At 40.6% G+C, this 16,367-nt stretch overlaps 1 protein-coding gene across 7 annotated transcripts in view, besides 1 other annotated feature; it reads left to right on the top strand.

Annotated features, from left to right (window-relative positions):
• ADAMTS12 (ADAM metallopeptidase with thrombospondin type 1 motif 12) overlaps nucleotides 1-16,367 on the top strand; it is a 368,456-nt gene that overhangs the window by 266,517 nt on the left and 85,572 nt on the right. For 6 of the 7 annotated variants that reach the window (NM_030955.4, XM_017009905.2, XM_017009906.1 and 3 more), the window contains 3 exons: nucleotides 1,123-1,243; nucleotides 9,402-9,646; nucleotides 11,098-11,236. In NM_030955.4, the coding sequence (NP_112217.2) occupies nucleotides 1,123-1,243; nucleotides 9,402-9,646; nucleotides 11,098-11,236 (505 nt within the window). The remainder of the gene's footprint in view (nucleotides 1-1,122; nucleotides 1,244-9,401; nucleotides 9,647-11,097; nucleotides 11,237-16,367) is intronic. The other variant, NM_001324512.2, reaches the window with a different exon arrangement.
• Nucleotides 12,135-13,334: an enhancer, noted in NCBI's record as "BRD4-independent group 4 enhancer chr5:33612245-33613444 (GRCh37/hg19 assembly coordinates)". NCBI's record gives its function as "activates an origin of replication core promoter dependent on BRD2, P300/CBP, MED14 and CDK7 cofactors, and independent of BRD4, by STARR-seq in HCT116 cells {active_cell/tissue: HCT116}" and the evidence as "EXISTENCE:reporter gene assay evidence [ECO:0000049][PMID:35650434]".

Genomic DNA, 16,367 nt, shown 5'->3' with positions numbered 1-16,367 from the left:
TGGGAATGTGGTTGTAGATGTCAGCTTATTAGAGGGTGCTCAAGCTTGATGCAAACATATTGCTTGTGAAGGGCTGGCATTTTACTCATAGTCACTAAAGGCACCTGTTTCCCACATTGCTTTTTTTCCCATTGTTATTAGCATAATTAAATTTTGGTGTTTTTTTTTTTAAATCTCTTAGCACTTAATTTTTTTCCCCCTACTAGGTGAAGCAGCACAGTCTTTGGACCTAAAGGAAATTAAAGACAGTTAACCTAAAGAATGAAGCTATTTTCTGTTAGTGGGTATTCATTCTCTGTTTAGCTGGTAGAGGGTGTATTTAAAGACTCAAAATAAGCCTGGTGTGGTACCTGTAGTCCCAGCTACTCAGAAGGCTGAGGTGGGAGGCCAAGAGTTCAAGGCTGTTGACTGTGAATAGCTACTGCACTCTGGCCTGAGCAAAATAGCAAAATCCCATCTCTCTCTAAAAAGAGATTCAAACGATTCTTCCTTTGAGTAGATTTGAGGTGGCTTTCAAGTTAGAAAGAAAATGATCTTTAAAGATCAAAAAGGAAATGAAACTATCTGGACACAATTGTTCCCAAACAAGAAAGAAACTTATGACTAAAGGAATATGGTATAGCTTTCCCTTCTGGTCATGGAAGAAAGCAAGCCACAGAAAAGTCCAGGTGAAGGTCAGATACGGCTCATGACTTTCAATCTAAGTGTCATGATTCTTTGGTATCCACTCCCACAGAACACCCCAAGCTTCGTGGCTCTCCTTTTCCAGGATGAGAACACATCTGAAAGAGACTTGCTGCTCTACCAGCTTCAACTCCAAGATGTTTTCATAGTTAGATTTTTGGAACATTTGCATAGATTTTGTTCAGTTCTGCCTCTGACTCGGGAAATTAGAGACCTCACTCAATGTGTGCCTCCCTCCTCTCTGAGCAAGTAGTGCCTTTACCATTGGTGGATGCTTGGATATTCCTCTTGCTGCCACCAGGAACAAACATTTGTCCTTGTACCTGGTACCTCCTGCCCAGTCTTATGAAGCACCAAAGGGGAAAGAAGAAGTCACAGATCCAGGCAAGAGTGGCATCCCCTGCCTGGGCATTCATCCTCCACCTCTCTTCCCCACAGATGGTTGGCTGTGACTATGAGATCGATTCCAATGCCACCGAGGATCGCTGCGGTGTGTGCCTGGGAGATGGCTCTTCCTGCCAGACTGTGAGAAAGATGTTTAAGCAGAAGGAAGGATCTGGTAATAAACAAATAAATAATCGAAGTGGCAGGGGACCAAAGGTGGGGGGCAAGATAAATGGTTGATTGGTTCCTAGTTTTTGTTTTTATTTCTTTAAACAGTCTGTGATTTTCAAAGTATTCAAAATGGAATATAGCCTTTACCACAAAGGAGGAAGGGTTCTTCGGCAGTTGTAGGAAACGGGTTGATTGCTGACAAAATACAGGATGCATCACAGTGAGATAGAGATCTGAAATGGCCCTGTGGTTGTGCACAGGAACAGGTATAAGAGTGTGATCTCTGGGAGAGGATCCCCTTTGGGAACAAGCATCACAAGAGGATCCAGCATTAAAGCCAATGGCATTGGAACAGACCAAGAACTAGGGGAGAGAAGAGATCAGAAGCTGGCCGAGAAGGCTGCAGACACAAGGACAGATTCTGTAGTGAGGACAGAAGCCAGCAATGGGTTTACAGGCAAAAGAATTGGGGTGCACCTTCAATTCAAAGTCAAAAGAGAAGCAAGGCAGGGTTGCATCAAATCTCGTTTATTCCCAATTGCTCCCTGGGAGGGGGTCCCACCCACTGGTCCCTTATGAATTTCCAGACAGCTCCTCCACCTAGCATCCCCTTCTTACCCACGCTTTACTATTCTTTTCCCATAGTCACCTTTTGCAGAGTTTCTTCTCTGTGCAGCTTTGGGCTATGGATAGTCCTCAGGGCATGAAGAGTTCACCTTCAAGGGTGGACCCCAAGGAAGAGTCAGTTCCCAAGGAAGGCAGCTAAGAAAGGGTGAACCATTATATGGGAACCATGGCAGATCTTGCACCTCTGAGTTTCCCCGACCTGAGGGGTGAAGGAATTGAGATAATATACACCACTTTCCACCAGTCATGGGTTGAGGTTACTCTAGGGAGATCGGACTGTTAATTCTCTGGATTCCATAGAGATGCTGGGAGTAGGGAATCCATCATGCACTATTGCAGTAGGGCCTGAGGGGAGAGGGGCAGTGTCTGCTACACAGGGTTGATGCCCAGGACAGGAAGTGATAGCCACTTTGAGAGATGGTAAAGCCCTGTTTTCCTGGATCCTGGAAAAATAATATCTCTCTTCTAAACATGCTTCCTACCCAGGATGAAGTTACTGAGTAGGATCCTGAGAGGATCAAGTATGTTCTTCAGTTAATTACATGACCTATTGTTCCCTAGTAATCATAACAGCAAACAGTCTAAATTTAATTTCCATCCCTATTTTTCATCTTTGACTATTGGATTACTAAGCTTAAGTTGTGAGATGTAATGCTTGTCCTGCCCATGAGAATTACCACTGGAAGACTGTATTTCATGTCTTTGATTGATAGCTTTATTATGGATGAAAAATACTCTCTGAATTACTTATTTGGAATGTGAATGATAACCGGTATGTCTTAGGCTTATGATTAAGCACCCTATGATAGCCAATGTTTTTACAAGCTTTACAAAGGTGTTTTGTAAATATTTTTCATTATTTATAGTGGCTTTACTTACTTATAAAAAGTTACACTTAAAATCGTATTTCTGCATTTAACCTGTTTTTTCGTTTTTGTTTCTGTTTTTGTTTTTTTGAGACGGAGTCTCGCCCTGTCGCCAGGGTGGAGTGCAGTGCTGCAATCTCAGCTCACTGCAACCTCTGCTGCTGGGTTCAAGCAATTCTTCTGCCTCAGCCTCCCGAGTAGCTGGGACTACAGGTGCACGCCAGCACACCCAGATAATTTTTGTATTTTTAGTAGAGACGGAGTTTCACCATATTGGCCAGGATGGTCTTGATCTCTTGACCTCGTGATCCACCCACCTCAGCTTCCCAAAGTGCTGGGATTACAGGCATGAGCCACTGGGACCAGCTAACCTGTTTTATTTAATTTTCTTTATGAGTTCCTATCTTGGCCTCTGAGGTGCTGTTCTTCTAATATTATGATAACTCAATTGAAAACCAGAGTTGTTGTCCCCAGGTCTCTTCCACTTAACCTTGTAATCCCTTAGGAAATCCAACTCTAATTCTGGGTTCTTTCCTCTGCCCTGGTCTCTTGGGAATGAGAAAGAGGGATTATAAATGTCTTCTGCTCCCCTGTTACCCCTACCCCTTCCTGCCTCCAAGATCTCAATACCTCTAGCCACATGCCCACCACTGAGCATTTGACATCTCCCTGTGCCTTTGTGTTTTCCATTCTCTTTCTCCCATGTCCCCTTCCTACAATTCCTTTCCACCAGCTTCTAACAAGAGGGTCATGGTTGCTCGCAGTGTGTTACAAGATTCCAATTATCTCACAACCCTCTTTTGAGATAACTGAGACTAAGAGTCTTAATCTAAGGCAAGGCATTTTAACTTCTCAAAACATATACCAGGTACTGTTATTTTTATATATTTCTTCCTCACTCTGTGGTTTGTGAGCCTGTCAAACACTGGTTTGTATCTGAACCAGACACCTATGTGTCACTGCTCTCAAGCCTGGGATCAGACATGGACCAGCATTTCCCAGGAGCCTCCACACATCAATCATGAGATATTGGCCTGCAGTGAGCATTGTCTCAAATGGACAGCATAAATCTTTAAAAAGACAAGCTGACCACTGTAGATAAGTTGCCCAGGGTTAATGGTATAACCTCTTTATGAGCACATTTTTATTAGAAATGTCAAAGACTGGAGACCAAATATGCCAGTGAGTAAAGTCCGTTTTTGTGGACCACAAAAACAGTTGGATAAGATGTGTGTTAGCATCAATAATGTATGATGTCTCTTATCAGAATCTCAGAAATGAGGGCCTATCTTTTGCCGCATCCTCAAACATCCTGAATATTCTTTTTTTTTTTTTTTTTTTTGAGATGGAGTCTTGCTGTGTCACCCAGGCTGGAGTGCAGTGGTATGATCTAGGCTCACTGCAATCTCTGCCTCCTGGGTTCAAGCAATTCTCCTGCCTCAGCCTCCCTGGTAGCTGGGATTACAGGTGCGTGACACCACGCCTGGCTAATTTTTGTATTTTTTTAGTAGAAATGGAGTTTCACCATATTGGCCAGGCTGGTCTCAAACTCCTGACCTCATGATCCACCCATCTCGGCCTCCCAAAATGCTGGGATTACAGGCATCCTGAGTATTCTTTCAGCTCAATGTGCTCAAGACTGGGATAGTGATGGAATAGTTTCTCCAGGTGGTCTCCTTGGACCCAGAGACTTCTTGTTTGAGGTCAAAATTATGTTCCTCCTCTTCCCCTTATACTGGTGCAAGCAGCTAATGCTTCCACTGGCGAAGATGCAAGAAAATTGATTTGCTAAGCAAATATAGTCATCATTCTTAATACAGTTGACCCTTGAATAACACGGGGTCGAACCAAATGAGTCCACTTAGTATGAGGATGTTTTTCAATAAATACATTGAAAAATGTTTTGGAGATTTTTGTGACAATTTGAGAAAACTCACAGATGAACTGTGTAGCCTAGACACATCAGAAAAATTAAGAAAAAGGTATGCCATGAGTGCATAAAATATATGTAGATATTAGTCTTTTTTATCATTTACTACCATAAAATATACACAAATCTATTATAAAAAGTTAAAAATCTATTAAAACTTATGAACACAAACACTTACAGGCCACACATGGCACCATTTGCAGTTGAGAGAAGTGTAAACAAACCAAAGATGCAGTATTAAATCATAACTGCATAAAAGTGACTGTAGTAATACTGTACTACCAGAATAATTTCATAGCCACCTCCTCTTGCTATTGTGGTGAGCTCAAGTGTTGCAAATATCTGTTTAAAACGCTGTGTGATGCTAATCATTTCCATGTGAGGATATTTGTCCAGTAAATTGTGTATCACAGTAAAAAGTGATCTCCTGCAATTCTTGAATATTTTTCATTGTGTTTAGCACAATACCATAAACCTTGAATAACACCATGGGATTCATACAAAGTGCCACTAGTGATGCTGGAAATGCTCCCAAGAAGCAGAGAAAAGTCATGACATTACAGGAAAAAGTTGAATTGCTTGATATGTACCATAAGGTCTGCAGCTATAGCTGTCTGCTACTTCAAGATAAATGAATCTAGTGTAGAAAAGGAAATTTGTAAAGCCATCACTACAGCTATGCCAGCAGGTACAAAGACCTTGCACTTTTTGTGAAACTTTTTATCTTTCATGTAGCTTTCACATCGGTGCAGGACTGCTATAGGAAAGGCATACCATACCTATAGACTCTGATATGATTCAGCATAAAGCAAAGTCATTGGCCGGATGCAGTGGCTCACGCCTGTAATCCCAACACTTTGGGAGGCCGAGGAGGGCAGATCACGAGGTCAAGAGATCGAGACCATCCTGGCCAACGTGGTGAAACCCTGTCTCTACTAAAAGTACAAAAATTAGCTGCGTGTGGTGGCACGCGCTGGTAGTCCCAGCTACTCAGGAGGCTGAGGCAGGAGAATCGCTTGAACCCAAGAGGCGGAGGTTGCAGTGAGCCCAGATCGCACCACTGCACTCCAGCCTGGTGACAGAGCGAGACTCCATCTCAAAAAAAATTAATAAATAAATAAATATATACATACATACATACATGCATACATACATAGCAAAGTTATTATATGACAACTTAAAGCAAAAGGAAGGAGAGGGACCTAAAGCTGGATAATTTAATACCTGTAAGGTATGATTTGATAATTTTTGAAAGAGGTTTGGTTTTAAAAGTGTCAAGATAACAGGAGAAGCAGCTTCTGCAAGAGACATCAGATGAGTCTCCAGCTGCCATTAAGAAAATCCTTGAAGAGAAAAAAATCTGCCTAAACAGATTTTTAATGTGGATGAAAGTGCCCTATTGTGGGGCAAAAATGCTAAAAAGGACTTTTACTAGTAAAGAAGATAAACGAATACCAGATTTAAGGCAGGAAGGAATAGGCTACCTCTATTGTTTTATGCAAATACAGTCTGGTTTATGATCTGTAAAGGAGCTAACGTAACAGCCTTGAAGGGAAAAGATAAACACAAGCTGCCAGTCTTTTGGTTGTACAAGGAGAAGGCCTGGACAATGAGAATGCTTCTTCTGAATTGGATGCATTGATGCTTTGTCCATAAAGTCAGGAAGTACCTTGCCAGTAAGGAACTGCCTTTTGAAGTTCTTTTGATATTGAACAATGCCCCTGGCTACCCATGAACTCAGCACCAAAGGCATCAAAGTGACCTACTTGCCCAGAAACAAAATGTCTCTAATTCAGCCTCTAGACCAGAGGGTCATAAGGATCTTTTATGCTCATTACACCCAATACTCTTTGGAAAGGAGTGTCAACATTATGGAAGAGAACGCTGACAGAAACGTCATGAAAGTCTGGAAGGATTACAACGTTGAAGATGCCATTGTCCTAGAAAATGCCATGAAAGCCATCAAGCCCAAGAGTAAATTTCTGCTGGAGAAAACTGTGTCCCAATGTTGTGGATGGCTTCACAGAACTTGTAACAGAGACAATCAAGGAAATCGTGAAAGAGATTGTGAATATGTGAGAAAGGCAGGGGTGAAGGGTTTCAAGATATGGATTTTGGAGAAATTCAAGAGTTGCTAGACACCACACCAGGGGAATTAACAGAAGACAAATTGATGAAGAGAGTGCTTCCGAACCAGGACCAGACGACTGTCCCAGAAAGAAGATGGAGAAGAAACAGTGCCAGAAAACAAATAGACATTGGACAGTCTAACAGAAGGGTTCTGATTACTCAAGACTGCTTTTGATTTCTTATATGACATGGACTCTTCTGTGATACAGACACTGAAACTAAAGCAAATGGTGGAAGAAGGATTAGTACCATATAGAACACTTTTAGAGAAATGAAAAAGCAAAATGTCAGACAGAAATTGCAATGAATTTCTGCAAAGTTTCACTGAATGTGTCTGCCTCTCTTCCTCCATCTCCACTTCCTCCACCTCTTCTACCTGAGAGAAAAATCAACCCCTCCTCTTCGTTTTCCTCCTCAGCCTACTCAACATGAAGACAACAAGGATGAAGGTCTTTATGAGGATCCACTTCTGCTTAATGAATAGTAAATACATTTCATCATGAATTTCTTAACATTTTATTTTCTCTAGCTTACTTTATCATAAGAATTCAATATATAATGCATATAACACAAAAAATATGTATTAGTGGACTGTTGATGTTATTGGTAGAGCTTCTGGTCAAGTTGTTAAGTTTGGAGATAGTCAAAAATTATACACAAATATTTTTACTTGCGTAGGGGCTCAGTGCCCTAACCCCTGTGTTGTTTAAGGGCCACTTGTACTTTGGAGCTATTCTTACTGGTCCTTCTTTTATCTACAAGCTATTCAGAAGCAGTAAGTTAAATATGCCTCTTTCAATCTACCCATAATAAATATTTCTAGTTTTGGATTTTCTCTCTTAAGTGGAAGAATAAAAAGCAAACACTGTTATTTATTGTTTTTTTTTTCTATTTAGGTTTTTATTTTTTAAAAGCAAGGAGCAAGGTGGTAGACACAGTATTTCATACCAGTTCATTTACCTGCATGAGCTCTGATATGAAAAGGCATGCAACATCCTAAGTATGAAAATGACTGCAGATAGCAACACTCGGAGGGCATTTATTTTTTAAAACCATTAGCCTCGATTACATGTGATCAATATCTTCCCGGAGGTGGTCATACATTAGTGGTTTTAATCAGCTGTTCTAGGCAAGTGTTTGAGAGCCAAATGGAACTTAATTAAATACTACGCAAACCACATTTTTGTTCCTCTGGATGAGAGCTGCCAATTTGAAAAATGAGGCAGAGGTTGTGATCTGTATCCAGTTTCAGAGCAAATTATTCTTGCTGGACAGGCCACAGTTTGACCCCTAGGACCCCATACTTCTTTAGCGCCAGAGGAAGATGAAGAAATTGAGGCACTTTCAGGTGACAAAGAGGAAGGGCTTGCTCATCAGACCAAATAACGTAGTGCATATCCAGTGGAAAAATAACCAAGATCATCAATGTCTTAAAACTGTATTTTATATTTAAAAAAAAAAAAAAGTTGAAAGAACAAAGAATAGTTAACTTGCAAAAGAGAAAAATCACTCACTATTAGAGCTGAGAGGGACCGCAGACGTCATCATTCAATCCCCTTCTGTGCAATGAGATTCAAAGAAGTTAGATGAATCAATGAAACTCATAGAGCTGATTTGCAGAAACGCAGAGACTAGAATGCAAGTCTTTCAACTCCCATTGCCCCAGAATTCCTTTCGCAATGCCAACCTCCAAGTCCATGTTCTTTCCATTTTATTAGGGAATGGTTCTCAAGAATCATAAAGAAAGTGAATGCATAAAATGTTTAGCATAGAGCTTGGCAAACACTGGCAACCATTAAGTGTTAATTTTTTCACCAGTATGCCTCTTACCATAATGACCATTAAACAGGAATAATAAGACTGTGGCTGGAGTTGATTGTTATCTTTAAGTAAATGTCAACCTATGATGCTTTTTCAGAAGGCTGAATTAGAACACAAGAGAATAAATTATAAGTTCCTATTTCAGTGATATATAAAAGAAAAAATGAGAAAGAAAACTTTCTAATGAATAGAATCGTCCAACAGTATAAAAGGCTGTACTCAGAGTTGAGTTCCTCATCATAGGCTGTATTCAAGATAGCCAGGTGGCAAACAATCTGAGATTCCCTCCAGGATTTTCTTAATGAATGGAAGCTAGGATTACATTACTTCTAAGAGTCTGTCTTTAACCTGCTGGCAAGGGGGGTGAGGAAAAGTATGTATCCAATGCAATGTTCAGGAAGTCTAATGTAATAGTAGCAACAAAGGGGGAAGCAGAGATACTAGCAGGAAGCTAGCAAGGAGCTTTAGGGTTTTGAAGTATCAACATAAAATTACAGAAAAATAAATGCTAGATCAACCACAAAAGCTTCAGAGTCCAATCTGCTCTTATTTCACCTCTCCTTACAAAACTGGGCACATATTGAGTCACAAAACTCCTGAGAATTCTGTTCGTGTCCAAGTTCTCGAAAATCCCCCATAAGTAGTGCTTCTGCCAATTCCAGTGGCCACCCAGCAAGGTCACTAAATGATGGGGAGGCTGGAAAGAGGATTAACAGTGGGTCACAAACAGATTGCATTCAGCTGAGAAGCTGGCGTGCCTCTTTCATGATTGTGTCTTCTCTCTTTAGGTTATGTTGACATTGGGCTCATTCCAAAAGGAGCAAGGGACATAAGAGTGATGGAAATTGAGGGAGCTGGAAACTTCCTGGCCATCAGGAGTGAAGATCCTGAAAAATATTACCTGAATGGAGGGTTTATTATCCAGTGGAACGGGAACTATAAGCTGGCAGGGACTGTCTTTCAGTATGACAGGAAAGGAGACCTGGAAAAGCTGATGGCCACAGGTCCCACCAATGAGTCTGTGTGGATCCAGGTAATGCAGAAAGGAGGGAAACTGCTGACATGTGTGCTAGTTAGAATACTTCTCCTTTTTCCCCAAGGTACTTGCTAGGGGACATTAAGTCAGAATCTTTAAAACCTCTTTTAGCAAGGAGCAGGGAGGGGAATGAGATATTAGTTTGTGCTGTTAATCCTTTATTGCCTAGATATTGCTGAAACCCCCATAACAAAATGCAAGGTGCTTTAAAACCACCCACTGGGAGGTTTGAGTTCAGCTTCTGGGCTGATTTAATTGAGGGTGATTGTTCCTGAAGTCTATTGTCATTGTGGCACGGGTTTCCAAGTAGCTTTCCAACAGTGGGGATAAAGTGACATGTTACTCTGTGTTGTCCTCAAGCAAAGCATTTGGCTTTGTGAAATTCTTGCTGGAAGGAGGAGTTAGAATACAACATGTGCTCTTCAAAGGTCCAAGAAATTTATCTTTCATATTGGGCACAGAACTGTAGAAAAGGAGTGGAATGAATATACCGATAGCAGCAAGGCAGATTGAGGATGAGAGATGGCCAAGGAGTTAGATCCAGCCACAGTCTAAAGTTAGAGAGACATCCTTTTCGAGCCAGAGATCAGAGCACTCACAGAAGCTGAAGGTCAAGCGTGGCAGTTGTGATCCATGAGTGTCGGGAGACTTTGCTTCTGACACAGGCAAGGATTAACACATGGGAATCCCCAGTCCCAGGGAGCAACCAATCCAATGCCTCTATGTTTAAGGTGAATCAATTTTAAACATGTGATAAGTAGATTGCCTGCATGAGAGGGAAGTAAGGGGAAGATCCCAAGAGCAGCATACCTAAGTTAAAGTCCATGACCATTGTTAGCTCAGAACTACTATTTGTTAAAGATACTGAGTAGCCTGAGAGGTAGGGAAAGCCATCGTAAGACAACAATAACAAACATAATACAAGTTAACATTCGCTGAGCCACTGTTCTAACCACTTTCCATGTGTTTACTCATTTAACCCTCACAACAATCCTACAAATAGGCACTATTTATTATCCCCACTTTGTATATGGGCAAACTGTGGCACTTACCTATATTCACAAAGCTGGTAAGTGCATAAGAACACAAAGTAACCTATCGGCCTATTGTTGGAAAGGATACTCCTTGCCATTTCCACAGAGTACTCCCCATATGATTTGATCTCCTCATTTATGTGAACTGAAATTCCCATGGGAATCCAGCCAAGAACTAATTAGATGGAAAATATATAGCTATAGAGGTAGATGTAGATATATAGATATGAACTTAGACACAGACATAGGTATAGACATAGGCACAGACATAGGTATAGATCTATTTAATGGCTTTATTCCAATGCATGCTCCCATTACTAATTTTAGATGACTGACATTTTGTGGTGTTTTTACATGACTGGCTTATGGTATAAAGTCATGACAGTTTGACATGACCCCTCTCTTGCCTTTTAGCTTCTATTCCAGGTGACTAACCCTGGCATCAAGTATGAGTACACAATCCAGAAAGATGGCCTTGACAATGATGTTGAGCAGCAGATGTACTTCTGGCAGTACGGCCACTGGACAGAGTGCAGTGTGACCTGCGGGACAGGTGAGAAACAGCTGCTCTCACTATGAAGCCATGCCAGCCTCAGAGCAGTTTGTAGAGGTGATTACACCAGTGATTTGCTTTGTGCTCTCTGCCCATGGATCTGCAGGGCTCCACTGAGATGGCCAGGGGCCTCTGCGGACAGTGAACATGGGCATGGTTTGAAGAGAGGCAGTTTTTCTTTTATCAGCTCTATATACTGGCCTTTTATAGAGCTGATAAAAAAGTTGATAAAAGTTTTCAGTAAAACCTTTGTTTGAATGTTTCATTACGTGTCAAACAAAAAGCATTAACAACCAATGCTCTGGTTGAGAACCTGAAGACCACAAAAGTGGAACAACTCCTCAAATGTGTACCATAAATCATGGCCAAATTCAAACCACAACCAGCTCTTCTGATTCCTAACCCAGTGCTCTTTCTCCATCTCCTGTTTATTCATTTTTATACATATAGCAGAGGAGTAGCTTACTCTCACAAAATCAAGCACTGGAGAGATTCACTTGCTGCCATGTACTAGTCAGGATGGGATAAGTTCTGCCACAAGAACAAAAAAATTGAAATCTTAGTAATTCAACACAATGAAGGTTGATTTTTAACCCACTGTATGCCTGAAGCAGGTTAGAAGACTCTGCTTCATTTCCTACATAAGACATACAAAACACATGGCTTCCAGCTTGCCCCGTAAGGAAAGAAAGATGGGAGAGGCACCCTGGCTCTGTTGACAGCCTTGGCCTGGAAGTGCTGCAAGTCACTTCCACTCACATCTCGTTGGTTGGCGTTAGTCACATGGGCACCATCTAACTGCAAAGGGAGGCTGGCAATTATGGAGGGGTACGTGGACATTTGAGGAGCATGGAATCTCTGCTGCAGTGCTGGATGAACTTTCCCAAGCCCTGTGAAGGCAGGGGTCAGGGCCTGCTGAATACTTGGGGCTATATCACTCATTTAGGGGGCTTTAGTAATATTGCCATATGCAAAAGCCTCTACCTCTCTTTCTCCTTTGGGTCACGTCCAAGTCTGTTCTGAAACTTCTTGCCTCTAGGCTGTAACTGCAACCTGCAAAACTAGGACAGCTGCAGAGTGATGTGCCAGAATTGGTGATGTAGCAAAAGGGAAGAAAACTGAAGCAAGTGAATGGAGCAGAAGACCATGGCCTACTCTCCCACAGGCTTCCCTCTCACATACCAGGTCTCTGCAGCACCTGCACTGGCTTTCCCACCCCTGAGAGTTGTGCACCATCAACCTTATAAACAATTTTTGTATTATCAACTTCTTTCTTTCCCCATTTCAGCACAGAAAGCCAAGGTTAGCTTTTAGAATTCATAAGAATAAAATTAAATTATGTGATATTTAACAATGCTAACTAACCCTCTGGAAATCTATCAAGGTCAAAGGTGCAGTCTGTGGCAGCAGCCATGAGTGGTGTTGATAGGAGAGTCAGTCCTGCCATTCCTACCACTGCCTCTAGCATTTCCAAACATACTGCCCACCACTGCTCAGGGTCGGGGACTGGGCTTGGAGTTAGGTGAAGGCAATTTAAGCAGAAAATAAGTGGGTGAAAAAAATTTCCCTTGAGGAGCAACAGGAGGAAAATGAAGTCATTGTGACTATAGATATAAATACTTTGTTGATTTGTCATCCCCTTTGTTCTCATCTTTCTATGAAGTACAAGTTTAAGCTCTAAGTCATTTGTCTCAGGGCACCATGGAATGAAACAGCCAGTGCTGATGGCAGGGACTCCTGAAAGAAACAAGAGAACATCCTCCACTCACTTCTGTTTCAAGATAGAATGGACCCTTTGCATCACACACACAATATTTCAGAACATCAGGAATCAAGAGATAAGTGGCTGATGTGTGCAGTGATCATAAAAAGACATCTGAAGTCAGCTAGGAAATTGGACATTCTCACCAGATGTAAATCAGACATTTGGTTTTGTTACAGCCTAAGCCTTCAGCAGCACTTCCACCTACCTAGGTAAATGTCACTCTGATTACTAAGCCTTAATGGGAAAGATCACAATGCTCACATGCTCACCTGAACTTCAGCCACACTGTTTGTTTGAGTGAGGGCGAATCTTACTCTGGCAAAGGAGAAAGACAGCAGCATATCTACTGTAATACTCTCAAACATAGAGAATGAAATGCTATTATTCACACAGGACACACATTGCTAAATGTAACATTGGAAGGTTGCCTGAAACACTGAATCATTCAGTGATGGATTTTTATTTTATTTAGGCTAAAACTTTCTACACTGTAAAAGTAAGTTAAACACATTACTGAAACATGAAAAATTGTCACCACTCTAACACATGCACTTTTGCTACTTTGCTTTTCTTTCCTTTCAGTGCATTTTTTTCTAATCATAGATGTATATAGGTGTGTGTATATGGATGCATTTATGTACATTACACACATATTTTCACTTATCACAATACGGATACTTTTTCATGTGTTAGATAATCTTCATAGCTATCAATTTTAAGGATGCATTTAATTTGCTGAAAAGATAAAGTAAAATTTCCTTAACCAATTCCTTATTGCTGTTCTTCTGATGAGCATTTAGGGACCTGTGTAAAAAAATGGTCTCCTCAGTTTTAATTTCTGTGTGAAATTTCTAGGTTCAAAGAATATAAATATTCTGATAATTGACTTATACCAAATTACCAGATAATATTAACTTATTGCCAAATTGATTTCCATAGTAAATGGGTTACAAATAGGTGGCAGCAATCATTTTATTTTTTTAATTATTGTGTTATTTTCGTTTTACTGAGAAACATTTCAAACATATTAGCAAAATAGAGAATGTAGTAACAAATTCCTTTGTACTAACCACTCAGCTTTATTGCTCTTACCATTTTGTTTCAATCTTTACTATTAAAGACAAAAAAAAAAAAAGTCCCACAGCTACAATCAAGAAGCGCATTCCACATCCACTTCCTTCACTTTTTCCCCAGGGTTAACTAGGGTCGTGAAACTAGTGTTTATTATTCTCATGTATATGGTTAAATACTTTTACTATGCATATGTATAGCCATACACATTATATAGGATTGTTTCTCAGGCATTTAAGCTTTCTGCAAATAGTATCATATGCACTATACCATGCTTTGTCTTTTTTTTCCCTCAACATTATGCTTTTGAGGTAAATCCACATTGATTAAAGTAGCTCTAGTACTTTTTTTTTCTGTCACCCAGGCTGGAGTGGGATGGCACGATCTTGGCTCACTGAAACTTCTACCTCTGGGTTCGAGCGATCTCTTGCCTCAGCCTCCTGAGTAGCTGAGATTACAGGCATGCACCATCACATCCAGCTAATTTTTGTATTTTTAGTAGAGACAGGGTTTCACCATGTTGGCCAGGCTGGTCTCAAACTCCCAACCTCAAGTGATCCACCTGCCTCAGCCTCCCAAAGTGCTGGAATTACAGGCATGAGCCACTGTGCCCAGTCTCTCATACATTTATTTTAAGGGTTGTGTACTATTCCGTTCCGTGAATATATCATGATTTATTTATACATGCTACTATTTTGCAGCTATAAATATTTCTGCAATTCTGTAATGAATGCCTTATGATTATTCCCTCATTACCTCCGTATTTGGGCTTCTTTAATATGTCTACCTAAAAGTAAAATGCCTAGGTCATACAGTCTCCATATCATAGGAGTAAATCTGTGAACTCATAGGGTGCCGTGGAATATTTTAAATTTTCCAGGGAAACAATGAAATGTTAAAGGGAAACACAGCAGGAGTTAACATTTCTTGGACATCATGTGTCTACTACCTGCTCGAGGTAGTTCAAGGTTAGGTCATACTACATTCTTTTCAATGACATTCTATGTTTGTGAAACTGGTTTTTCAGTGGTTGCTGTGATTAAAAAATCAAGTACCTCCTGAAAATCGATGTGAAACCGGAAATATGGTGTCTCATTCCAAGATTTGAAAAGTTGTACAGTATCCAATAGAGGCACACACCTCATCAAGTCAATTTAAAATGAAACAAAAATACTATTTTGTTTTTCTTTTTTGTTGTTGCTGTTGTTGTTCGTTTGTTTGAGACAGAGTTTCATTCTTGTTGAACAGGCTGGAGCACAATGGCTCAATCTCGGCTCACCGCAACCTCCACCTCCCAGGTTCAAGTGATTCTCTCTTGTCTCAGCCTCCCGAGTAGCTGGGATTACAGGCATGCGCCACCATGCCTGGCTAATTTTGTATTTTTAGTAGAGACGGGGTTTCTCCATGTTGGTCAGGCGGGTCTCGAGCTCCTGACCTCAGGTGATCCGCCCACTTTGGCCTCCCAAAGTGCTGCAATTACAGGCATGAGCCACCATGCCTGGCCTGTTTTTCAATTTATATGTATTATTTTTTCAGATGGCTACTAAGTTGTTGGACCATAAATCTTTATTAAGACTGAATTATTTAATGAATGGAACTGTTAAATGTTTTATTTTGCATAGAGGCCACAAGAAAAATGACTGAAACATGAAGGGCAATATGAACCAAAAATGTTGCAAGTCTCTGTTCTAGTCTTTGCCTTGTCTTTTAAACTTTGTTTACGTTGACTTATTTACATTAAGCAGAACTCATATTAAGTAGAAATATTACACTTTGTGAGGCAGGAAGTCACTTGTGCCCAGGATTTTGAGATCAGCCTGGACAACATGGTGAAACTCTGTCTCTACAACAAATACAAAACTTAGCCAGGTGTGGTGGTGGTGGGCGCCTGTAGTCCCAGCTACTGTGGGGGCTGAGGCATGAGGATTACTTGAGCCCAGGAGGTTGAGGCTGCAGTGAGCCAAGATCCTGCCACTGCACTCCAGCCTGGGCAACAGAGTGAGAACCTCTCTCCAAAAAAAAAAAAAAAAAAAGTTAAATTTTTAATATAATGAATTTTGTGTGTTTTCCCTTTAAAGTTTGTGCTTTCGGTGTCTTAACTAAAAATACTTTTCTATCCTATATGTAGATATGATCCTATATTTTCTTCTAAAAGTTTTAGATTTTGAATTTCACATAGGGAGTTTAACCCACCTAAACTTATTTTTTGTGTGAGGTGTAAAGTAGGAATCCAGTTTCCTTAGGAATAATCAATTATTCCAACCACATTTATTTAATATGACAACCCCTCCTTGT

This window comes from Homo sapiens, chromosome 5 (assembly GCF_000001405.40).
Source record: "Homo sapiens chromosome 5, GRCh38.p14 Primary Assembly".
Taxonomy (NCBI): domain Eukaryota; kingdom Metazoa; phylum Chordata; class Mammalia; order Primates; family Hominidae; genus Homo; species Homo sapiens.
Note: the sequence above shows the minus strand (reverse complement) of the source record. Positions and strands in the feature narration are given on the sequence as shown.